The sequence below is a fragment of the Homo sapiens genome, chromosome X, assembly GCF_000001405.40.
Source record: "Homo sapiens chromosome X, GRCh38.p14 Primary Assembly".
Lineage (NCBI taxonomy): Eukaryota > Metazoa > Chordata > Mammalia > Primates > Hominidae > Homo > Homo sapiens.
In genome coordinates, this window is record NC_000023.11 from 38,268,266 (window position 1) to 38,293,551 (window position 25,286).

Genomic DNA, 25,286 nt, shown 5'->3' on the forward strand with positions numbered 1-25,286 from the left:
ATGTGACGTGCCTGCTCCCGCTTTGCTTTCTGCCATGAGTAAAAGCTAACTGAAGCCTCACCAGAAGCTGAGCAGATGCCACTAAGCTCCCTGTAGAGCCTACAGAACCATGAGCCAATTAAACCTCTTTTCTTTATAAATTACCCAGCCTCAGGTAATTCCTTATAGCAACATAAAAATGGACTGACACAAGACTTAGCAGCTTTATCCTTCCTATTCTTTGTGGCAGAGCACTGTGTGACTGAACCAAATGTGGTTACCACTGTCAATGCCAGGAAAAGCTGAAATGAGCAAGCCTAGCTATGTTCACCTCTCCTATGGTGGTGATCGGTGGAATGGTCAAACACTCCAGATGATACCAAATAATCTGCAATGTTTTCATGGCAAGTCATTTCCCTAAGGAAAGGAGTAGGGGCTGGGCACGGTGGCTCACGCCTGTAATCCCAGCACTTTGGGAGGCCCAGGCAAGCAGATCCCGAGGTCAGGAGTTTGACACCAGCCTGGCCAATATGGTGAAACCTTGTTTCTACTAAAAATACAAAAATTAGCCGAGTGTGGTGGTGTGTGCCTGTAATCCCAGCTACTCGGGAGGCTGAGGCAGAAGAATTGCTTGAACCCGGAAGGCAGAGGTTGCAGTGAGCCGAGATTATGCCACTGCACTCCAGCCTGGGCAACAGAGAGAGCTTCCATCTCCAAAAAAAGAAAGGAGTGCTGGGAAGCAAAGAAACTTCTGCACTCAGTTTTCCACAGATGTACCATTTATACAGTTGCACTGAAATTTTCTTTACTCAGGGGTAAATGCATTTTGCATACTTCTATATTTTAAAATTATTTTTGCCCCCATTTTGTCAATTGCTAATGCCAAGTACCTCCTAATTTTATTAATACTTATCAATGTTAACAGTGGAACTGACCAGATATAGTTTATTAAAATATGTTCATTATAAACAATTTTACCTCAGTTTTGTAAAAATTGTAAATACATCAAAAACTGTTACAGTGTCGTAAGATTGCAAATATTGCCTTATAAAATTATAAAGAAGTAAAATTGTTTAGTAAAAACTAGGAAATATCTTATTTCAATTTTCCACATATAAAAATATATTTTTTATTGCAATACTGAACAGTTAAGGCCACAACACTTTAGGGAGAATTTGAGATACACATATTTTGAAATGACTTGTTAAAAATATTAGCATAAATAAATATCAAAACTGGTCACACTTATAGAAGCTGAATAAAACATATTAAGTCTTATATCTTTTAAAGACTACTATCAGAAACTTTACTTCATAAGTTATAACATTTTTCAAGTATACATTACAATACACTTGGTGACTGTGAAAACATAAATATATATTTATAGTATTGTACAGGATTTTGATCTTCTCTCTGTATTTGTTGGTGGGATATTCTGATGATTCTGACTCATGTGGTTCTGGTCGGCATCTTTATTATCACTTTTTAAAATGATCTGGTCTCCTATGGATTTTATCTCTGGGAGCGGCTCATTGTTATTCTTGACAATCTTTTGATTTATTGAGGGGACTCTTTTGAACAGAAAAATCTAGGAAAAAAACCACACACACAAATATTCATTTCCATAAGTGAAACATTCACTTAACAGTATTTAGGGGATATCATTTTCAACACGTAAGAACATGATTTTGTCATCTCTTTATGGGGCACCACATGTACTATGGTGCATTCTTAGCATCTGTTAGAGTTTTTCCTTTCACCAAAAGGCAGTCAGGATTCCACCCTAAAACAAGACCTCTCAGGGTCTAACATTCAACACCATCAACACCTTGGTGATATCTTTTTCTTCAAAGAACAAATTTAATGTTTCACTTTGTTAAGTTGTAAGAGAAAAAATATATAAAAACCTATTTAAAGTTACCTATTGTAACTTTTAAATGTATCCAGGAGGGGTCATTTTCAGGACATGTCTGTGATTCTCAGTGTATCGCAGCTACAGTGAATTTCTATTGTAATATTCTGAAGAAGGACGATGTACCTCCCCATTCCTGTAGATGAGAACTTCTGGCAAAAAAGTTAATGCTGCTTGGCCAGGCGCGGTAGCCCATGCCTGTAATCCCAGCACTTTGGGAGGCCGAGGCGGGCAGATCACAAGGTCAGGAGATCGAGACTGTTCTGGCTAACACAGTGAAACCCTGTCTCTACTACAAATACAAAAAAAAAAAAAAATTAGCCGGGCGTGGTGGCAGGCACCTGTAGTCCCAGCTACTTGGGAGGCTGAGGCAGGAGAATGGCGTGAACCCGGGAGGCGGAGCTTGCAGTGAGCCAAGATCGCGCCACTGCACTCCAGCTTGGGCGACAGAGCGAGACTCTGTCCCCAAAAAAAAAAAAAAAAAAGTCAGTGCTGCCAAATGATGGCTGTGTGAGCCCTGTGTGTGGGTCTGAGTAGGCAGTCAAATATACAGAGCTGCTGCTCAGGGGAGGCTGGGGCTGCAGATATGTAGAATATAGATAATAGCTGAGAGATGAAAGTAGCCCCGATAACCCAGAGATTCCAGGCAGGTAGAAAACAGAATATAAGAAAAGAGGCAAAAAGAGCAGAGTGAGAGGCAGGCAGAAGAGGAGCTAGAACTGAGGACCAAGGTTTGTAGGTGCAAAATTGGGAAAACTAGGCAGCTCAGAAGTCAGGAGAGAAAAATACATCAAGAAGGGAGTGGCCAACAGGGCATGTATGCAGAAGAGATGAAGGTGATAAAAGTTTCATTTGATTTAGGCCCTTTGAGAATGTAGCCAGGAAGAAAATAGGATTATTGAAGAGTGGTAACACAAATAATGGTTTTGACAAGATGCCAAAACAAAAAGCAGGAAACAAAAACCAGGTGAAAATTTGGCTCTTCCAGAAATAAAAATGGTGCTAATAATAATAGCTTACTTCTAGCTTTAAAGAGTGGAGAAACTAGGGTAAAAAGTGATAATCCAAAAAGTAAGAATCTAGAAAAAGGATCTATGGATTAAAATGGAAGAACTCCTGTTCCTGCTATGGTGAAGAAATACACAACTTCAAAAAGACTGCCACTATAAAATACCAAGAAATGCTGATTAAGTATAAAAAATATAATTTTATAATGTGCAGGTAATCTCCCCAAAAACTAAGGGAAATCCTTGTAGACCAAAAAAGAAAGAAGGAACAGGAAGCCTCAGAGGTCATTAAGAACTGAAATAGCATCTGCTGACTCATAACTTAGACTTTTAACTTTGAAACAATTTGATCTCACAAAATGAGGGGAACTGGAACTGAGACCCCTACATAATGTGAGGACCTTCTAAGTACTATGCCCTTAATATAAGTCTACCTACAAACATTGTGGTCTACCCTTAAATGAGAAATGAACTTAAAGTGGTCCTTCAGTCACTCCAGAGCTAATAAAGGCTAATGCAAACTCTCTATAGATAGACTTACTCTAACAGAGGCCTTAAAGGATTTCCACAAAAAAAGTACCAGTGAAACATGAACTCACAATACAAATTTCAAAACACATATGGAAACTAATCACCATTAGCAAGTCAGCCAAAGCAACACACATTTAGACTGCTAAGGATGACACTGGAATTACTAAATACAGAATGTAAACTAAGTGTGCTTAAATTAAAAGACTAGAATAAAAAAAGTAAGCATAAAACAAGATACTGATTTTAAAAGACCAGATTGATTTGAAAAAGAACAAAAATACAACTTCACTTAAAATGTGAAAGATGTTATCACTGAAATTAAAACTTTAAATAGGTAGGTTAAATAGCCAAGTAGTCTCAGCTGAAGAGAAACTATGAAATTGATGAAGGCCCTGAAATTACCCAGAATATCACTTACACATAGAAAACAAGAAGGTGATATTAAAAGACATGTACCCATAAAATAAAAAGTTTTATATCAGAATTTGAAAGAGGGGAGAGAAAATATTCAAATATATAATGGATGAGAATTTTAAAAAAATTGACAAATGACATGAATTCTCAGATTCAAGAGTCATAATAAATTCCAAGTAAGTTAAAATTAAAAATTCCATACCTGCTGGGCATGGTGGCTCACGCCTGTAATCCCAGCACTTTGGGAGGCCAAGACAGGCGGATCACCTGAGGTCAGGAGTTTGAGACCAGCCTGACCAACATGGAGAAACCCCGTCTCTACTAAAAGTACAAAATCAGCCAGGCATGGTGGCACATGCCTGTAATCTCAGCTACTTGGGAGGCTGAGGCAGGAGAATCGCTTGAACCTGGGAGGCAGGATTGTGGTGAGCCAAGATCGCGCCATTGCACTCCAGCCTGGGCAACAAGAGCGAAACTCCATCTCAAAAAAAAAAAAAAATCCATACTTAAGCATCTCATAGTGAACTGAAACACACCAAAGACAATCTAAAAAGCAGCCATAGAGAAATGGCAGGTTATATACAAAGTTATCAGCAATTATACTAAAGCAAAATTATAGACAGCAATAATGGGAGCAGATACTAAGAGAAAATAACTGTCAACGAGCCACACTATCATTCAAGAACTATGGTAAAATAAAGACATTTTCAAGTGAACAGAAACTAAAAGTTTTAACTGTCAACAGACATCTGTGATAGGAACTTCCAAAATATTTCTTCAGGAAGAATAAGAATTCCAGAGGGGACATCTGAGTAAAAAAGTAGTATAAAAAATACTAAAAACATACGATTTGTGATGTTAAAAAATTTTAAATACTGGGTACCATAACTTCTAAAATAAGAAAGAAGAGGTGATAGGCAAGAAAATTCTTCTAAGGTCCTGGCATTATTTGGGAAAAAGATAGGAACATTGATGAGCTTTAGATTTTAGGTATGCATGTTAAAAATGTCAAAGACAAAATCCAGCTGTATAGGCCATTTACAAGAGACACATCTAAAACATAAGCTAAAGTAAAAGGATGAAAAGAAGATCATCATTCAAATGCTAACCAAAGGAAAGGTAGTATATTAAAAATATGCGACATCACCTGAAATTCTTCAGGTTTTGGGGCCATGAAAACTCATATTAAGAGAGTTAAATTATGTGGATTGCCATATGAAAAGTAAAACAAACAATTGAATTCAAAAGGATCAAAAAAGACAATTCATTTCACTTACCTTCTTTGTTTTTTTCATGTCTTTGCTTGGTGTTGTTTCACTGTTTTCTAGGATTTCTAATGAACTGCTATCTGCATCATCAAGCATGTATCCTACAATTGGATCATTCAGAAATACTAGTTTTAACTAATAGGAAAAAGACAAGACCTGATGCTCTCAGTGAAACTCTATGAACCCTGAGTTGTGGGGTAATACGAAAAGAGCTCACCCCTGGAGTAGTGGACAACATCTACACTGCATATTTCCTGAAAAGTTGAGTTAAAGTGAAAAGCCCAGAATGACCTCACCAAAGTTGTAAATGTTTAGATGACCAGTATCCAAATATAGCTACAAAGGTAATAGTCAATGTTAGAGAAGACTTCTGTAAAATACAAATTACTTTAAAAATTAACCTAGTTATAATTACATTCTTTGTACTCAAATGGACATGCTATTTTTTGGTGTTTCAAATTAATCCACATGTTCTATATCTGAATAATTATCTTCAAAGTATACTTGTGAAGCATATGCATTGTTTTAATTTTATATTATCAACTACTTTTAAGCTTATATTTAATTTCTTTGTAGTGCTTTAGGCTATATGTTAAGAATACTTATAGGTGATACATTTTTTAACACTTGCCTAAAATATTCTAAAACTTACTACTCTTATGGCAGAAGTTAAAAGGAACAGGATTAAGGAAACTATTCATTCTTCAGCTTAAGTTTAGATCAGATATCCAGTATTACAGATAGTTATTTTTTTATGAGAACACAATCATACTGCCGTGTGATGGTGTGGAAACAATGTGGGAGTCATACTACAGAAACACAGATGATTTGTGTCTAGATTATGTAGATCTCAAGGGCAATCACAGTCTCCTCTATTCCACAGCACCTGCTCTCTGACACTGATAGGTAGGCTTGGGAAAGGACTTCTCTTCAGTATCTACGGTAAGACACTCAGGTCTGAGCCCTCGGGGGTAAATAACTGGGTGGCCATTGTGGCTTTAGGCCAGCCCAGTAGTCCCAACTTGGTTGGGCAATGGAGTCTAGCAGTGTGCACTAGAGATATAAATTGGAATTTGGGGCAAAAGCTTGATTTAATAATACTGATTTAATAGAGAGAAAAAAGGTAGTAAAAAGGCTACTTAAATTCCTTAACACCAGCCGGGTGTGGTGGCTCATGCCTGTAATCCCAGCACTTTGGGAGGCCGAGGCGGGAGGATCACCTGAGGTCAGGAGTTTGAGACTCGCCTGGACAATATGGCAAAACCACATCTCTACTAAAAATATAAAAATTAGCCAGGTGTAGTGGCACACGCCTGTAATCCCAGCTACTCGGGAGGCTGAGGCAGGAGAATCACTTGAACCTGGGAGGTGGAGATTGCAATGAGCTGAGATCGTGCCATTGCACTCCATCCTGGGCAACAAGAGCGAAACTCTGTCTCAAAAAAAAATAAAAAATTCCTTAACATTGACACATAAGTAGCCATGAATAATGCAATATTTGTATGTGAAGAAGCTGTGGTGGTTATATATAAGAACAGATAAGTCTGTATCACATATTTCATAGCTTGTTATGAGGATCATGTGACAGTAAAAATTATAGCATATATGTAAACTTATATGTAAGCTTATAATTACCCAATTATGGCATACATACACATATATATGTGTGTATGTATGTATGTATATATGTATGTTATCAAATGTGCTCATACCTTTTGGGTTTTCATTGTACTCACAAATGGCCCGTTCCTCTAGGTTGGCTTTTTCTTTCTATAAACAATAACAAAGCAATATAACAAAAAATATTTTTGTGCTGTTCTAGAAAACTTAAGTCTGAATCTTTAAGCAGGTTCTAGAGTCTGCCTCTAGCTAATGACATAAACATGTGACAATTACTTCACTTTGCTGAGCTCTTGTAAAGTGAGGGGCCTTAGATGCTGACTGATTGCAAATGTCCTCCTAGCTTAAAATTGTGTGATTAAAAAAACTGTATGACTCAAGAATTCTCCTCAAAGAAGATTCATGAACGCTAATTGGCATACAACTTGTCTCAACATTTTACAATGTCAAATTGGTATTTAATGATTTCTATGTTAAATAATCTTAAGGACCACCCTAACCTGAATTCATAAATGTTCCCTATAAACAGAATCATTTTCTCCTTCTGAAATAAAACAGTAACTGCTAGAATATTTTTTTTCTTAGTGAGAGAAAGGAGTCTTGGATAAAGAAGGAACCAAGCAAAAGAATGACCTTTACCACAATACCAATTTGTAAATTAAAAATGTATGCACACAAAACATGTTTCACAAGTACACATTCAAATAAAATGACAAATATGTTTCAGTGGTTGTCTATGTTAGGGAAAAAGGGGAAGGGGAATGGAGCTAAAAGAGAATACATTTACATGAGAAGAGCCTTGCAACAGACCAATGATGAGAGTGTTTCATACTAGAAGGTATGACTCAGTGTTCTGCATGAGAGGTTCAAAAAATGAAAATAAAGATGAATCAGTACAACGTCATTCACTTTGGGTTGCGGAATTCCATACTTCTGAAGTTAATCCAGAGTAGTGTTAGCAAACAAATGATTTCAAACCTACAAACTATCTCCTAGCAAGGTCACTCTCAGTCAAAACTGCCAATGGAAGAGATTATGTTTTGGGCTTCTCTAGCTCCACTTTCAGGGTGATTTTTGCTTCCTTAGTGATATCTTCTCCTATTCCTTCTATACATAATTTTGTCTAGACTGCACCTTTGAAGAACTGATCACAACTTCAAATACTGCTGTGACCAACTTTCAATCATTCACACATGTAAACATACACAGGTGTGTGTACACATACACACCCCATTTCTGCCACCAGTGCCAGGGCTCCTAACTTTGCACTTTCAGCATTTCAAGGACTGAGTGCTGAACTTCTTGGTTAATTTCCCAACGGTGTACTATCCTGGCCCATACCATTCTACTTCCACTCATGCGGGAGGCAGAATGCTACCAAGCAGCATTCTAGAAAGTGTGCTAGAGACAAAGTTTGCTTAGTTCACAAATAAGCCAAAGCCTTTCTCTTATGGCACATGAATTCATGTATTCATGTATTCATGGGAGTATTTCTGATCCCAAAGGCAACTGGAATCTGTCCTCTGCAGAAACTAGAGAACCCATATGTTTTCTCCCAGGATCTCAGGATTTAAGCATCTATCATCATACCTTTTCAATAGTTTCAGCTGAGCTATCATCATTGGTTCTTTCTGCTCCTTCTGTTTTACTGTGATAACCTGTAGGAACACTTTCATCATCTCCCACAGTTTTCTTCTTGCTTTCCACATTTTCAGCATTAATTTCCTCATCCACATCTTCTAGTTTTAGTTCCTCAGTTTTAGAAAATTCATGATCCTGTGACAAAATTGACCATCAGAGAAGAGTAAGATTTTCTTGTTAAAAAACGAGGGATTTGATATTGCTGTCATAAATAATTTGTGTCATCTAAAAAAACCAGGAAAATATTAATTCAAATATTGAAGCCGAAGAAAAAAATACTGTACAGTCCATGCTGAATATCAAGTTACTGTATTAACAAGGATTTTACGCATGCCACTCTATTTCAATGACTAGGATTTCCAAAATTCTTACTAGCACCCATGGCAAGGTTACAATGGAAAAAAAAAATAAATACTCTTTCTTGGTTGTCTCACAATGCTTTCAACCTTGAGAAAAGTTTAAAAAGCGTTCTGTCTACTGTAGCATTATAACATAATCATATCTATATATTATATTCATTTTCCAAAATATAGGGATTTAGAATCACTTCAGAAGTACGATTCACTGACAGTCATGAGGAAGATAAGTATAATTATTTACATTCCAGGAAAAAAGATAAAGGAACATAGACAGTTTAAATGGTTTGCTCATGGTTATTAAAAGCAGAAGGAAAACCAAACAGAGGCAGAACTTGTTCTGTCTGGCTACTGGCCAGCTAATCCAAACGATAAAAGAGGCTGTCTATGGATTTGATAGACTGATAGTAAATCATGGAATGCTTATTAAGTATAGGCAGAAAATATTAGTTTCAGCCTTTATTCTACACTGAGATTTCTTTTTTTTTTTTAACTTTCTAATTTTGGGTGAAATACTCTGATTGTCATTAAGATATTAGGTTTCTCATTAGATTCCCCCCCATACTTTTCATTTACACACTTCACTAAAGTTATAACTTTATAGTTTATTATAATTAAGTTTATTATAACTGCTTCTAAAATATGTGAAGCAGTTATCAGTGCCATTTACTCCTTCAAATAACATTTGTACAAAGTTCACCTTGGCAATATTTGCTTCAGACCATATCCCCTTCAACACTGTAATTAGCTTTTGATGGTCAGCTTTCTAGTAGCTGTCTGGCTAAGGATAAAGCCTGACTGATACTCAACAGAATCTTTAGTAGGTGGTTGGAAAATAATGCCTCTAAAATTTAACTCACCTTTCTTCTGGTAAAAATATAAAATGCGAGAGTCCAGGCTAGGAAGAGGATGTTTATACAGTACACCTTAATAGTAAACATTAGTGTCATCCTCAGGCCAATTGCAAAGGCGTGGCCTAATAGCATTCCCACTGAGGACAGGAAGCCCTAAGTAAATAAAGCTTTGAGATTTTAAAAAGAGTTTCAGAAGCTACTCAGGAAGAATTAGATTTAGGTTAATCCAAGGTCATGAGGCAATGTATGCAAGAGAGGAATGTGGGAGAAAGGAACATGGTACCAGGGCAGACAGCTATTTCAAATGATGATTGATTAGACTGGGTAGGGTTAACATGAGGTAGTTATCATTTACTTTTAAGCTTTGTTTTTGTCTGCATGATTCCAACCGCCTGTTTTTTGCTTTTGTTTGAGACAGGGTCTCACTCTGTCACCCAGGCTGGAGTGCAGTGGCACAATCTTGGCTCACTGCAACCTCCACCTCCCGGGTTGAAGCGATTCTCCTGCCTCAGCCTCCCGAGTAGCTGGGATTACAGGCACCCACCACCACACCCAGCTGATTTTTGTACTTTTAGTAAAGACGGGGTTTCGCCATGTTGGCCAGGCTGGCCTCAAACTCCTGACTTCAGGTGATCCTCCCGCCTTGGCCTCCCAAAGTGCTAGGATTACAAGCGTGAGCCACCACGCCCAGCCTGATTTCCCCTTTTGAGTGACTTATATTGTGTATCATGCCTAGCCAGGTATACATTATGGGTAGCTAAAATTATCAGAAACAACTTCACTTTGAAAGGGAATGGGAAGATTACTAGATTTAAGACTTATGACTGATAGTTGTCTGCATAAATATACATAAATGAAAGGTTAACTAAAAAGAACAGTGCTCCTGAGACAAGGAATTTCAGACTATGCCCCTCTTTTCACAGAGGGAGGGATCAGTGAGCTGTGTTCCCAGCATAATCCTCAATTACTTGGGAAGCTTGGCTAACCTAGCACCTGGGTCAACTCCAACTGGGCTTGTTAACTGAGGTATTCATGTAACCACAGGATAATGTCATGCTATTATAAAAAGACACGTGGGAGTTTTACCTTATTTTAGAAATAAGTAAAACACTCATAACAAACTACAATTTTACTCATTAACTTTAAACAATCTATAACAATGAAGAACTTTTGGAACTATATCATTTTCTAAATTTGAGAAAGCTATTAGAAAATGACATTTTCACTAGAAATCACATCATAGCACTCACAGACTAAGCACATTTAAAATTATTCTAAACACATCTGGACGACTACTTGAAGTCACAGAAAGCACTTACCTTTTAAACTGAAACAATTTGGGAGTGACTGGCAGAATACTGTCATTTTATAAAAAGAAAGAGTAAAGTTTAAGTACATTCTTGGCACTAGAACCATCTAAGAAGATGTAAACAGGTAGTCTGAAATGGTCAGTATATGTCTGTGTCTTGCGTTAGGATCACAGTAAAGAAGTGAATGGGCCTGACCTCTCACAAAAGGACCCTTTGTTTCATTGGTCAGGCATGGCACAGTCAGGTGCAGACTCTGGTCTGGCCCAAGGCAACACTTTTCATATTTCTTAAGGAACAGAACAAGAGAGCAAAGGTTCCTACTGAGGTTTCTGTTTACTTAAGAACACAATTACATCGCATGCTTTAAGGAGAATGCTGGGATGGGGGCTGGGGGGTGGGGCTGAGAGTGGGAAATGACTGAAAGGGGTTAAAGTGAAGCTTCTGAGGGAGCTGGTACTGTGTTTTTCCTTGATTTGGATGCTGATCAGTTTGTGATGGGTGTATTCACTTTGTGAAAAATATATTGAGGGACACATGTATGAGATAGGCACTTTTGTCCGTGGGTATTATAGTTTTTTAAAAGTAATAAAACAAACCAGAGCTATAAAGTATAAAATTTTGTGCTATAATTCAGAATTTCTGACATGCTTCAATGTCATGTAGGGTAGAAAATGTTTCCCAGATAGGTTAATATAGCATAAAACTTTGTATTTAAGTTATATCAGGTAGAAAAATCAAAATTTCAAGTATATATTTTTTTTTTGGACAGGAAAAGTTAACCTGTAAGTTCATGTTTTAACTACACTGAAAATCATGGAAACAGCAGTATGGGGTGGGAAGGGCATTAAATACAAAGCCCTAAGCACTGCTTTCCAAGCCTTAATCTAATCACTCATGGCCTGAGCATGGCACCCAGTGAATGTATTTTATAGTCTACCTGTAAAATGGAAAAATAACATTAGCAATACCTACCTCAGAGGGTTTGTGTAAAGATTAAAAAGATTATTTACAGAGAAAAATAACATGAGCATATACTATATATTTGTATATAAGTATAAATAATTTTGTAGAGGCCCCTCCATAAAAAGTAAGATAGAATTCTTAGTGTGCATTGAGGACTGTCGAAAAACAGTAAGTTTGGACTTTTTTTTCCCATAATGTCCCAGATCTTATCACTGGAAAATAGTTCATTTAAAACGTCCACTTATTTTTGTGTCCTCTATACATCCTTTTATTGTGAGCCAGGAGCCTAGCATCAAGGCCAGTGAGGGAAGGAGCCATGGGAACTGGGGAGAGGGGTGCCAGCCTCAGCTCAGCTTCAGGTCAGTGTTGCCACAGTGTGATGCTCCCAGACCCAGGCTTTCCAAAAGTCCAAGAAACATTATTATTATTTGAGACAGGGCCTCACTCTGTCACTCAAGCTGGAGTGCAGTGGCACAATCACAGCTTACTACAGCCTTGACCTTCAGGGCTCAAGCGATCTTCCCACTTCAGCCTCCTGAGTAGCTGGGACTACAGGGCGCACACCACCATGCCTAACTAATCTTTTAATTTTTTTGTAGAGACAGGTTTTTATCATCTTGCCCAGGCTGGTCTTGAACTCCTGGCCTCAAGCAATCCTCCAGCCTCAGCCTCCCAAAGTTCTGCGATTACAGGTGTGAGTCACCATGCCTGGCTGAGAAACTTTTTAAATGTAAAATCTCCTGACATTTCAATGTTGGCAACCAATATGATTTAAATAAAAAAAAACTGCACCAAACAAAATAAGTCTGCAGGCCAGACTGCACCCATGGGCTGCCAGTTGTGATCTCCAAATTCTTGGCTGATCATACTACTTTATAATCTCTTAAACTCTTCCTTCTTTCTAGGCACCACTCCCTTATGTCATTCCTAATCCTGTATTCTCACCACTGAATACATTCCAGTTTGATAGGCAGGCCTACAGAAATAAATGTTCAGAGTATAGAATATCTTGCTGGCGAGCATTTTTATTCTCATTTTCAGATTTATTCTTTACTATCTCTACTCTTTTTCCTTAGAAGATTTTCTTGTTGTCCATAAACAAATGCATGATCCACGACTATACCTTATGTGCTAATTATTTTTATTTATTTTGATAACAAGGTTAGGACACAGAGGGAAATGTTCAGTGACAGAAAACACACCTAAATTTTCGGCTAACCACATGAGTGTGATCAGCGTTTCAACACACTTTAAATATTTAGGGGCATTTATTGACTAATGTATGGTGTGTAATAGTTTCACTCCACCTTATACTTAAGCATGATCATTATTGCAATCTACTTTATTCCCACAGATCTATTTCTATAAGCCAATTTATATTTTGCTATTATGTTACATTTAAACAAAAGTCAGGTTCACATGACTAAACTCACGCACATCAGTCAGTGACCTGGAGATTCATGAGTGTAGCTTTGCACCTACCTTGGTGTGATCACAGAGTATAATTAGAGTGATACAGGTTACCATTTGCTGAGTGCCTATAACATGTTTCATGTGTTAGGTAATTTAATCGTCAAAAGTCCCTTCCTTTATCAAATGAGGGAAATAAGACTCAGAAAGGTCAAATAACAACCACCACCACCACCACCACCACAACTTTTCTAGGTGTCCACACAGCTCATCAGTGGAGGGCTGGGATTTTAACTCAGTTCTACTGGACTTTGGAGCCCATGTTTGTTTCCAAACCTGCTCATTTAATTTGAGGATAATAATGGCTGTTCTCACAGATGTTTTTTTTCTCCGCCTCACTAATGTTTAAAGCATTGCAGATTTTTCTTTTGGTTCATAAGCTCACATCAATAACACTCTATTCTTATGTATATATTAATTATGAACAAAATTTATCATCTTTTCCCCAGAAAACCAAAGTCTCTGGAGTACACATCTCCCTTCCTAAATTGAGAAATATGCTTAAAAAATTAAATATTTTAAAAATTAAATATCTATATCTGATATTTAATTTTCACAGTTCTGATTCTATTCCTCTGCAGAGCAGATTTCCCGGAGCTCATTCTTTCCTGGCAATGTGGGTTCTGCCCCTGGCCCTCTACTAGGCTGCCTCCTAGAGGCTCTCTCTGCAGCTACTACCACTCCTTCCTCTCTGAAACCCCTTCTTTGGCTTGGGTGGTATCTCTCTTTCCTAGTAAGTATGCTCCCACACCTCCTTCTCAGACTTCACTTTCTCAACCTCTCCCTTACCTACTGACATTTCTCTGAATTCTGTCTTCAACTCTCCTCCATTCACATTAGGAACACTTCCTTTCAGTCAAATCCAGTTTTAACTACATCTATGAGCTGGCGATACTCAGCAGTCTCCGTGAGCTCCAGATCCATACAGGTATCTGCCTCCTGAACATCTCCTACAATCTAAAATCAACAGTAAAAAACTGTCTCCCAAACATGCTTCTGCTCCCTTATTCTCGATCTTGCTGAATAGTACTCTTTCTACTCAGTTCTCCAGGTCAGAAACAAGAAAAGCTTGGCCTTTCCTTCTTCCATGGTCACATTTTATTTTTGCTATGTAAGTGTATAGCAAGTTTCTCTATAGTGAAATAATAGAAGACATTTCAGTTGCACTCACCTTGACTGCTGCTGTTCAGCAGCAGCAGCAGCAGCAGCAGCAGCAGTTTCTGTGGTAGGTAATCCTTTGCAGCTTACCTTAAAGTCTTTTTCAGCCAGAGTCCTCATTAGGAAATGTAACTCAATGGATTCTATATATACTACTCACACTTCCCTCAATAATGATCAGTAATAAACTACTATAAAAGCCTGAACAACCAGCAGATGGGAACAATAAAGAAGGAACCAGTTATTTTAATCTATATAACCAAGTGTTAATTCATGAGGGACAAAGTGGTCTCATTCTTAAGCTTCCTTTTTTTTCTCCTAAGATATATAAAATTTACAAACATGTAAATCACTTCTGTCGATGAAAGCCTGGATAGACCTGGGTCTTTTGTACCCCAACCCACCCCTAACCCACAATACACTCCTCTCCATAAACTTTTTGAGGGTACTAGACCTGCCACATGTGATTAAATAAATGTTCGCCCAACAGTGGGCACAGAAAGTTAGTGTGTGCTTAGTAGTTTAGGATAACTGTTTACTTTAGTATAACTACTAGTTAGTTTGAATGTGGGGTCGCTTTGGTGACGAGACTTAAGATTTTTTATTGAGGAAAAAGGAATTGCAGAAAATCTGGGTGTGACAGAGCTCTAGCTGGTAATGAACAACTGCTGTTCCTATAGAATCCCTTAGGTCACTCATTCTCATTCTATAATTTTCCAGATGAAGAAATTGAGGACTGCAAAGCTAAGAGACTAGCCCAAGTTCAGACAGCTCAAAAGTACAAAACCAGAAGAAGGGCTTTGGTCTCAAAGTGACTAGGGAGGCCAGTGTTCTCCACTAGAAAACAATGCTTGCATGAACTACCACTTCTAAAGAGCACAAAATGTTTTTGGCCAGGGAAATGTGAAGAAATGCTATTTAAACGTGGACATATAGACCAGGTTTAATACTGAGATGGGTGTATTTTAGAACGTTGTTTCTGTATTACTGGCTGATTATCTCTTCAGTAGAAGATGAATGCTCATAGCTATTACATTAATAACTTGAGTTTAAGAGTTTCTCATTTCCCTGGAGGTTTTTTTCTTTATGAATTCTGTGTCATCCATCTTAATTATTTTAAATCTACTTTTTAAATAATCATGTTCGGCACATATATTTTTATCATAGTATTAATTCTTTTCTACTATCCCTTAATGAATGTGGTCGAATTCGGTAAAGCAATGCAATGCCAAATCAGTACATTTGGTTAGTTAGGGGAAGCTGCCAGAGATCCTTGCAGCTAAGGCAAAACTTACAATTGCTCCTAGGAAATCCTTTACTTCATACGATTCTAGACTTTTTCCTCATATTCTTTCTCACTCAGAGAATCAACTGTGCAAAAGAACTCAACTACACAAAACTCACAGGAAGTTTCTCATCAAAATCCTCCTTAATAAAACTAAGTATAAGAAATCTCTCATGCCCAGGATATAAAAGGGACTATGAAAGGAAATTAGTTGAAAAAGGAGCCACAAATAAACTATCAGATAAATTAGCTGCATTATGTACACGGAAAATTTTAAGGGACAATTGAAATTACTCTAGTGGAAATCTAGCCTCTCTAAAATTCAGTATCTAATACTAGACAGTTTATCTTTTCATAAAGAATTTCTGACTATATACATTTAATTTTTTATTTTACTTGAAACATTCTGACAAGGAACAGACAAACTGAAATTACAGAACAGTCAGTGAATACATTGAGGGCATATAACACATACCAGAAATGAAGGCTCTGATAAAGTACAGTTAAAGCTTGGAAATGATAGGAGTTTAGAAATAAAAAATTACAGAAGACAAGAGACGTTAAAGCTGTCATAACTTTTCAAGAGTAAAGAAAACAACTGTATAGAAAACTAAATTAATTTTAAAGTGTAATTTTTCTCCCTAAAACGTTTCTTACATGAATAACAATAATGATAGAGTGAATCTGTGAGAATGAAAAGAATTTAAGAGTTAGAAGGGACTGCAGTTATCACATCATCTCATCCACTCCATTTTAGAGATGAAGAAACTGAGGCCCAATGAGTACCTTTGCCTGGACAAAAAATACTTCAAGTTTTACATATTTCCAGATTATACATTTAAATTAATCACCATTTCATTAGATATACTACCATCTGCCCAGATAGTAACTAAAAGAGATCACGTTTTTGGGATCTAAGCTCTGAACACAGCTGTCACTTTGTAGATTTTTGCAAAAAGAACACATAAAAGGTGAAAGACAATACTTTCTTTAAAATGTGAATGCCTCAATTGAGTTTTAGAATACCATCCATTATTAGAAAATTATTCTATACAGTAGGTAAACTGTAATCACTAACTTAAAAAAAGTGCTAACATATTTATAAGAAATTAGAAGTTTTTATAGCCCTTAAGCATCTGTGCCATTTAAAAATGGAATGATTTGTATACACAAACAAAACACTCTTGTAGTATATTCCTGTTTCCTAAAGCTGCCTTTAATGAATATATAATGTTAATAATCTGATATGACCTTTTAATATTTTCTAGTTATGTTTTTATAATTTGGGGGGGAAATACACGAAAATTTTAGTTTGAGAGAGGCCAAAATTTACCAGTGCCTCCTATTGTCTTTGGCTCCTTAACACAGCTGCATCAGTTGCTTTTTTTTTTACTACACATAAAATAATTGACATAAAATCAATTTAATAACACGTAATGAGTGCCCGTTATATGCAAGGCATTTAAATTGTCTGACTGGCCATAATCGGGTCACATTTAAGGTTTGTTACTTCAATTCCAAGTAATGTGGTAATACATTATTCCAGAACTTTTTGGAACCTGATGGCCCGTTTTTTAAAAGTCGTTTTGACTGGACTGGCATTTTGGACCTCTGCTCTTTCCCATTTCCCTGTGTGTTAGTAACTGACTTTTTTTGATATGTTTTATGTTTGCCATATTTCACAGATCCTTTTATTTTGCTCACTTTTTTGTACTCCTCTCCATCCTGCCTTTCATTCTCTTCTTCGCCTGTCTCCTGATACTTCCCCTCTTCTTCCTCCTCCTCTTCTCTGTTCCTCCTGTTTTCTTCTCCTTCCCCCTCCTTTTCCCTTTCTTCTCCTTCCTCCTCTCCTTCCTCTTCCTCTCCTTCCCCCTCTCCTTCCTCCCCTTCCACCTCCCCTTCCACTTCCCCTTCCTCTTCTTCCTCCCCTTCTCCCTCCCCTTCTTCCTCTCCCTCTCCTTCTTCCTCCCCTTCTTCTTCCCCTTCCTCCTCTTCCCCCTCCCCTTCTCCTTCCTCCTCTTCCCCCTCCCCTTCTCCTTCCTCCCCTTCCCCTTCTCCTTCCTCTTCCCCCTCCCCTTCTCCTTCCTCCTCTTCCCCCTCCCATTCTCCTTCCTCCTCTTCCCCCTCCCCTTCTCCATCCTCCCCTTCCCCTTCTCCTTCCTCCTCTTCCCCCTCCCCTTCTCCTTCCTCTCCTTCCTCCTCCCCTTTCCCTTCTCCTTCCTCCTCTTCTCCCTCCCCTTCTCCTTCCTCTTCTCCCTCCCCTTCTCCTTCCTCCTCTTCTCCCTCCCCTTCTCCTTCCTCTTCTCCCTCCCCTTCTCCTTCCTCCTCTTCCCCCTCCCCTTCTCCTTCCTCCCCTTCTTCCTCCCCTTCTCCTTCTTCCCCTTCTTCCTCCCCTTTCCCTTCTCCTTCCTCCTCTTCCCCCTCCCCTTCCTCCTCTTCCCCCTCCCCTTCCTCCTCTTCCCCCTCACCCTCCTCCTCTTCCTCTTCCCTCTCTCCTTTCCCCTCCTCTACTTCCCCTCCCTCTACTTCCCCTCCCTCCTCTTTTTCCTCCCCTCTCCCCTCTGTTTCCTCCTCTTCCCCCTCTCCTTGGTCTCCTTCTTCCTCTCCTTTCTCCTCCTTCCCCGCTCTTTCCTCCTTTTTCCTCTCTCCTTCCTCCTTTTCACGTTCTCCCTCCACTTCTTCCCCTTCTCCTTCCTCTTTCCCTTCTCCCTCCTTCTCTTCTTCCTCTTCTCTGTCTCCCTCCTCTTCTTCTCCTTCTCCATGCTCCTCCTCCCCTCCCTCCTCCATCTCTTGGTTTCTTTCCTTCTGATGGCCCTGCTCCCTCTCCTTTTGCTCCTGCTCTTCCCCATCCCTCTTCTTCCATTCTTCCTTCTCTGCTAGTTCCTTCTCTCCCTCTCCTGGCCTCTCCATTTCTCCTCTACCCTTGTCTTTCTCCCCCTTCTCCCTCTCCTCATCTTGCCAGTGTTCTGCTCCTGAACTACCTTCCTCACAGGTTCCATCCCCTCTACCTTCAGGCCCATCCTCTGCTTCTCCCACTGATTTTGCCTTGCCTTCACTCACCTCTGCTTTGTCTGTAAGGTCATCTGATAGGATCTCTGTTTTCTCCTTTCTTCCTCCATGCACCTTCACATTTTCCTCATTTGCTTCTACCTCTTGCTCCTCTATTCCATTTCCTTTTGAATCCTCTGCTCCTTCCTTCTCCTCTGGGATCTCTGACAAGCGATCACATTTAAAATCATACTTTGCCATGGATTTGGATATTATGGGTTTAGTCTCTTTTTCATTTCCTTGTTCAATCAATTTCCTGCCATACCGTATGTTTTGGTCAGTTTCCACTTCATCATCCTCTTTCTCTCCACTACTAAATTCTATTGCCTCAGGCTGCTGGAATCCATCAGCTATACCCTGTTGACTCTCACTTGCACCTTCCATGTAACTGTCTGGCTTTTCTACTGATTCTCTTTCACTGTCAAAGATCACATCTTGCTTGCAACTTTCCCTTTTCTTAACAAAATCTTTATTTTCTTCACTCTCAGTATTCATACCTCTATCTGGTAAGTTGCCAAAGAAAGGACTCATCTTTTTTGTACTCTTTTCCCTTTCTCTTAAATCCTTCATACCTGCTATTTCTGCCAGTTTAGTTTCCTTCTCACTGTCTATTTCTTCTGCTTCTGATTCCTTCTGACTGTGTCCTCCATCACTTTCCTTTTCTATTTCCTTAGCATCAAGTTGATCAACACCATTATTATTTTCATGTCTATATACCTCTTTTTGTAAACCCTCTCCATCAGTGTCAGCCTGAGGTCCCACCTGGCCTGTGTCATTACCTACTTCCTCATCTGAAAATGCTTCGATAGTCGTAGCTGGCTGCGTCATGAAAATCCCTTGTGACACATGTTGTTTACATGCTTTCCCTTCTTTCATTTCTGACATTTCTTCATATTCATCACTATCATCGTTTTCAGTAAGAGCTGTATCCTGCGTCAGTTCCCCAATTGTTTGTTGTTTCTGTAAATTTTTTGAAGTAATTATCATATGTCATACTACTATTAGTTGACAAGGACAACTTATCTACTTTAAATACTGCCAAGATTTTACATTTTTATAAGTTTAGGAGAATCAAAATAGCAAGTTTTACCAGATATTTTGCTAAAGTTTTGTTTTCTTTAAGGATCATTTGTGCCACTCTCTAGTCTGTGATACATCTAATTTTGATTTAGTAACATGTATCTGTGTTTAATTTTCGATTCTTACTACCTGCCATAATTTTGCCATTAATCACAATACCATCAATATTTACTCTCTGCCTCTTTTCTCAATCCGAATCAATCCTTACATAAAACTTCGAGATTAATTTTGCAAGATGCTATTTAAAAATGTACACTTCTTGGCCTGGCACAGTGGCTCACACCTGTAATCCCAGTACTTTAAGAGGCCGAGGCGGGTGGATTACCTAAGGTCAGGAGTTCAAGACTAGCCTGGCCAACCTGGTGAAAACCCGTCTCTACTAAAAGTACAAAAATTAGCCAGGAGTGGTGGCACATGCCTGTAATCCCAGCTACTCGGGAGGCTGAGGCAGGAGAATTGCTTGAACCCGGGAGGCAGAGGTTGCAGTGAGCCAAGATTGTGCCACTGCACTCCAGCCTGGGCAACAAGAGCGAAATTCCATTTCAAAGAAAAAAATGTACACTTTTCTTATACATAGTACAGCTTAGTATATTTTTCCCACTTTCCCGATCATCTTTAATTTTCAATTTTTTTTTCTTGAGACGGAGTTTCATTCTGTCACCTAGGCTGGAGCTCAGTGGCATGATCTCAGCTCACTGCAGCCTCTGCCTCCTGGGTTCCAGCGATTCTCCCACCTCAGCTTCCTGAGTAGCTGGGACTATGGGTGCATGCCACCACATCCAGCTAACTTTTTTATTTTTAGTAGAGATGAGGTTTCACCATGATGGCCAGGCTAGTCTCGAACTTCTGACCTCAAGTGATCTGCCCATCTTGGCCGCCCAAAGTGCTGGGATTACAGGCATGAGCCACCATGCCTGGCCTAATTTTCAAATTTTCATTTGTCTTTTGAGTCCACAAAATTCACAAAATAAATAAAAATGTAAAATTTGAAAAAAATGAATAGTCCACTCCTAGAACTGAAGAAACTGCACATGAGATGTTTTTTATCTATAAACTAAATAATAATGAATATATTTTTCTTTTCTAAACAAAATCTTCATGAGTTTTCAAATTTTTGACCTTCTTCCTTGCATTGATTATATTATTTAATTACAATAATTTCTATAAATGAAAGAACACTAAGGAAAGAATATTAAGTGTAAAATGTAAGATTTGTACAAAAACTATGAAATCAAACACTGACATTTGAATAATACATTAACAATACAAAATTAATTTCCTGCTGGACAAAATAAGGCAAAACCAAATTGTTGATCTAAATTCTACAAACAAGCTAATGGATGCAAATATCTAATGAATTTGGGTCTCTGGATAGTAAAACCTCACTAATTCAAATTTTATAAATTGTGATGAGTTAGGCCTAGGAAGAGGTTCCTATTGTGCCAAAGAAATTATTAAAACATGACAAGTTAAAAATTAACAAGTTAATACACAGAAATAGTATAATAAATCTTTTCTCATTTACTAAAGTAGGCCTGGTAGGGCCTAAACTTAAAAAGACTATAGAAAGTATAAAATATATGTCAGCTTAAAAGGAATTGCTTTCCGTTTCTGGCTGTTCTTGCTATTGCTCTTTAAAAAGTCATGATTCTTTTAAGAGCCCTAAGAGAGGAAGGCCCAGTTGCCAGAACTGATTTCTAAAGGCACATGCCTTTCTTTCCCTAGCACAATAAAGCAGCCCAGAAGAGGGAGAGCCTGGAGTCTAAGGGAAGAGGAAGGAAAGACACAAGAAAGGTGTCTGCTTGGAAGTATGGTCAGTCAAAAATCAGTCAATATTCATTGAGCTTCTACAACTGTGTTCGAACAGCTCTCCCATATTCAAAGGAATGCTGTTATTCACCATGCCTTTCAGTATTATAGATAGAACGAATGAGGACTAGCTCTAAATTTTAACAATTTAGTATGATTCTCTTGCACTTCAGTGACTTCAATTTTAAGAGTTTTAAACTTGAAAACATGTCAAAGACACTATAAATAGAAACTAAATATTTTTTATAGACTTCTTCCCTCAACTTACATTTCTCCAATTTACTTTCCTAATCCTCTAATCCCTCATTCATTCATTGCACTAGTCCTTAAAGCCAGGAAAAGCAAAGGATTTCAGGGCAGGCCTTTATCTCTCTATGGTTGTGAAAACCACAGCCTATTCCCTTCTTTTGCAATTTGTTATTCATTAAAAGTCTCTCTTTCCTACCCATGAACAGTCTCTAATTTCCAAATGTTTAATTTTATTTTTATGCTATCAATTTCTTGATAAATTAAAGCCCAACCAAATATTGGAAAAGGTTATCAAAGATTTTCACTAAAATCACAAAATTTTAAAACTAAAAAAGATATTAATATCATTCAGTAAAGTCAGCATAGTAATTAATTCAAAGTCATACTCAACCAAAGTCAGAGGGCCACTCTATCAATAAATGGTAGTCTTTTCCTATACATAAGAACTGCAATCATAACCTATGGCTTGACAGAAGGAAAAGTATGGCTATTATAACTTAAGTTAATGATCCCAAAGAGCAAATTTCAGCAATAAAATGCTTCCACTCTTGTTTCTTTACAGAAAATACATACCATCAGAACAAGGCAAAATGGAGGTTATCTACATTGTATCCCTCTGTCTTTTAAATTCTAAAGTAAGTAAATGCTTACGTTTCTTGTGTTCTTTCCAAAAACCATCCAAAAAATTAACTTAAACTGCTCTCACCAACAATAACGAAAATAAATCTTCATATTATACCTTTTGTTTCTGAACTGGTGATAATTTTAATGACTTTTCATTGGAATTCAGGCTCATGATGTGTGTCTGAAATAAATAAAAAATATATATTATAAAAAGAATACAGTATATATACTATATATTTGTATATAGTACAAATATATAGTATATTTTCAATTATATATATTTTTTTATATATATATATATATAAAATGAAGGGAAAACAGTTCAGATAGTAATAGAATCCGCTCTCAATTGCCATACTAATAATGTGAGGATCAAAACAAATTTTATTGTATGTGAATTATACCTCAATATAGTTGGTTAAAAAATAAAGTAAGAAACGAGAAAGACGCTTTCATGCATATAAGAGTATAGGAAGTATACACACATTCACATACACAATGAACTAAAATTCAAACTCATATTTAGATAAATAGATAGGAAATCATTACCATGTTTAAGATATCAGTAGTTTCTCCAAGGCTTTCTACAGTTGAAGAATTATCTATCTCTGCTTCTTTGGTCATTTCATCTAGCAAATAATCTGAATGATTAAATGGGAAAAAGGAAATCCAGATTTCAACAGAAAAGTGAAAGGCAACTGGACAGAAAACAGAAATTATTCTATAATATAAAGTGTAGGTATAATTTTACTAAAAGTCCTTTAACCTCATGTCAGGGAAATTGAAAAGAATTCATTCACAATGACATAGGTTTTAAAATCTTTGTGAAAGTTTAAAAACATTGACACCAATTAGATTACAATTGTTTCATTCATATGAACAGGCAAACACTATTCCCTTGGGATAAATAACTACCCAGGTATCAAGCACTGTAATAGCTAGTCCTAAGAAGGGCCCCAATGACCTACAACGTCCTGGTGTTCATACTCTTGTGTAGTTCCCTTGCCCATTATACCAGGTTGGTCCGTATGTGCACAGCCAGTAAAATAAAGCAGATGTAATTGTGATAGCATTATGGCTTCTGTTTTGGTTATACACGTATGCGCACTTGTGCTCGCTCTGGCTCTCTTGCTCTCTCTCTCTCCCCCTCCACCCCCAGCTACACTCGTGCACTCCCTCTCTTTCTCTCTAATCACTTGCTCTGTAGGAGTCCATGTTGTGAGCATCTCAAGGAAGTGAGGCCTCCTGCCAATGGCCATGTGAATGAGCTTGGAAGTGGATCTTCCAGCCTCAGTCAAGCCTTCAGATAACTGCAGCCCCATCTGACAGTGTGACTGCAACCCTATGAAAGAACCTGGGCCAGAACCACCCAGCTAAGCTGCTGCTGGACTCCTGACTCTCAGAAACTGTGTGAAATAATAAATGCTTTTTGTTTTAACCTACTAAGTTTTAGGGTCATTTTTTAAATGTAGCAACAGATAACTAGTATAAGCACCTAGAACCTTTCACAGAAAACTGCAAGGTTATTACATCATAAAGTAGATAATTAAAAGTCATAGGCTCTACTTGACTTTACATTTTTCTCAGTTTCTCACTATGCCCTCATTGATCACCAATACATTTGGACGTAGCTCCTTAATGAAGTCTTCACTAAAAAATGACAGTCCACACTGATCCCTCCCCTTTAAATCCACTGAATTGAATGAGCAAATAACTATTTGGTATTTATTCCATGTGTGGTAATCTGCAGAATAGCAACATAAGTAATTGCTAATTCTTTTTTATTTTTTATCGTCTATATTTAAGGTATAAAACATGTTTGGGTATACATATACTAATAAGTTCATTAAGTATTAGCAATTGCAATTTTGTTGTTTGCTGTTAAAAAATTGTAATTGCTATTTCTTAATGAAGTTATAGTCTATGAGAAATTACATCCGTATGTTGGCAATCAGGAAAAGTTTCACTACAGAGGTACATAGAAAGATGAGTAGAATTAGAATTCTGAGGGGCAGAGATGGAGGTGTAAGGGGAAGACAATGAAGCCCATTCCTAATAAAGCAGCAGAACAGTAGTCTCAGCAAATGAGTAGAGGAAAGAAGCTTGTCTTGAAGGCTTACCAAATCCCAGAAACATATGCTTTTATATATGTTATATTGACCCTACGACAACAAGGAAGGTTAAGTATTATATCCTCATTTTGTAAATATAGAAATTAAGTTTCAGTGACCGTTGGTATCCAGTGTCAATCTTAGGTCTGTCTGACTCCACAGCTCTTGTTCTTTCCACTAAGTTAGACTGAAGAGATCAGTCTGATCAAAATTAAGAGTCAGCAAACTTTTTCTCTAAACGGCCATATAGTAAACATCTTAGGCTTCCTGGGCCATATGGTCTCTGTCCTAACTAACCTATGACATTGTAGCAGAAAGCAGCCACAGACAATACATAAAGGAATGGGTATGGCTGGGTTCCAATAAAACTTTATTTATAAAAACAGGTGGCCAGCTAGATTTGGCCCACGAGCCATTATTTGTAGACTACCATAATACATTACTACCATAATACTACCTATTACCAAATGAAGATTGTAAGGAAAAGACTACTGAGAGATAAAGCTAGAATTTGGAATTATATGGGAAAATTAACAATTATTTTCATAAATATTAGGAATTCACTGAAGACACTGGAGCACATGGAAACTGAATTGC

The 25,286-nt window shown here is 37.8% G+C and overlaps 1 protein-coding gene across 19 annotated transcripts in view; it reads right to left on the reverse strand.

The window, feature by feature from the left end:
* RPGR (retinitis pigmentosa GTPase regulator) overlaps positions 898–25,286 on the reverse strand; it is a 58,347-nt gene continuing 33,958 nt past the window's right edge. For 6 of the 19 annotated variants that reach the window (NR_159804.1, NM_001367249.1, NM_001367250.1 and 3 more), the window contains 6 exons: positions 23,128–23,219; positions 22,694–22,759; positions 8,322–8,507; positions 6,824–6,881; positions 5,121–5,212; positions 898–1,567 (listed from right to left, as the gene is read on the reverse strand). Coding sequence is in view for 12 of the 19 variants with exons in the window: in NM_001367249.1 (NP_001354178.1) it covers positions 1,361–1,567; positions 5,121–5,212; positions 6,824–6,881; positions 8,322–8,507; positions 22,694–22,759; positions 23,128–23,219 (701 nt within the window). In the remaining 7 variants the exon portion in view is untranslated. Of the gene's footprint in view, positions 1,568–4,045; positions 4,325–5,120; positions 5,213–6,823; positions 6,882–8,321; positions 8,508–16,142; positions 19,777–22,693; positions 22,760–23,127; positions 23,220–25,286 lie in introns of those variants that run through there. The other 13 variants (NM_001367245.1, NM_001367246.1, NM_000328.3 and 10 more) reach the window with 8 other exon arrangements.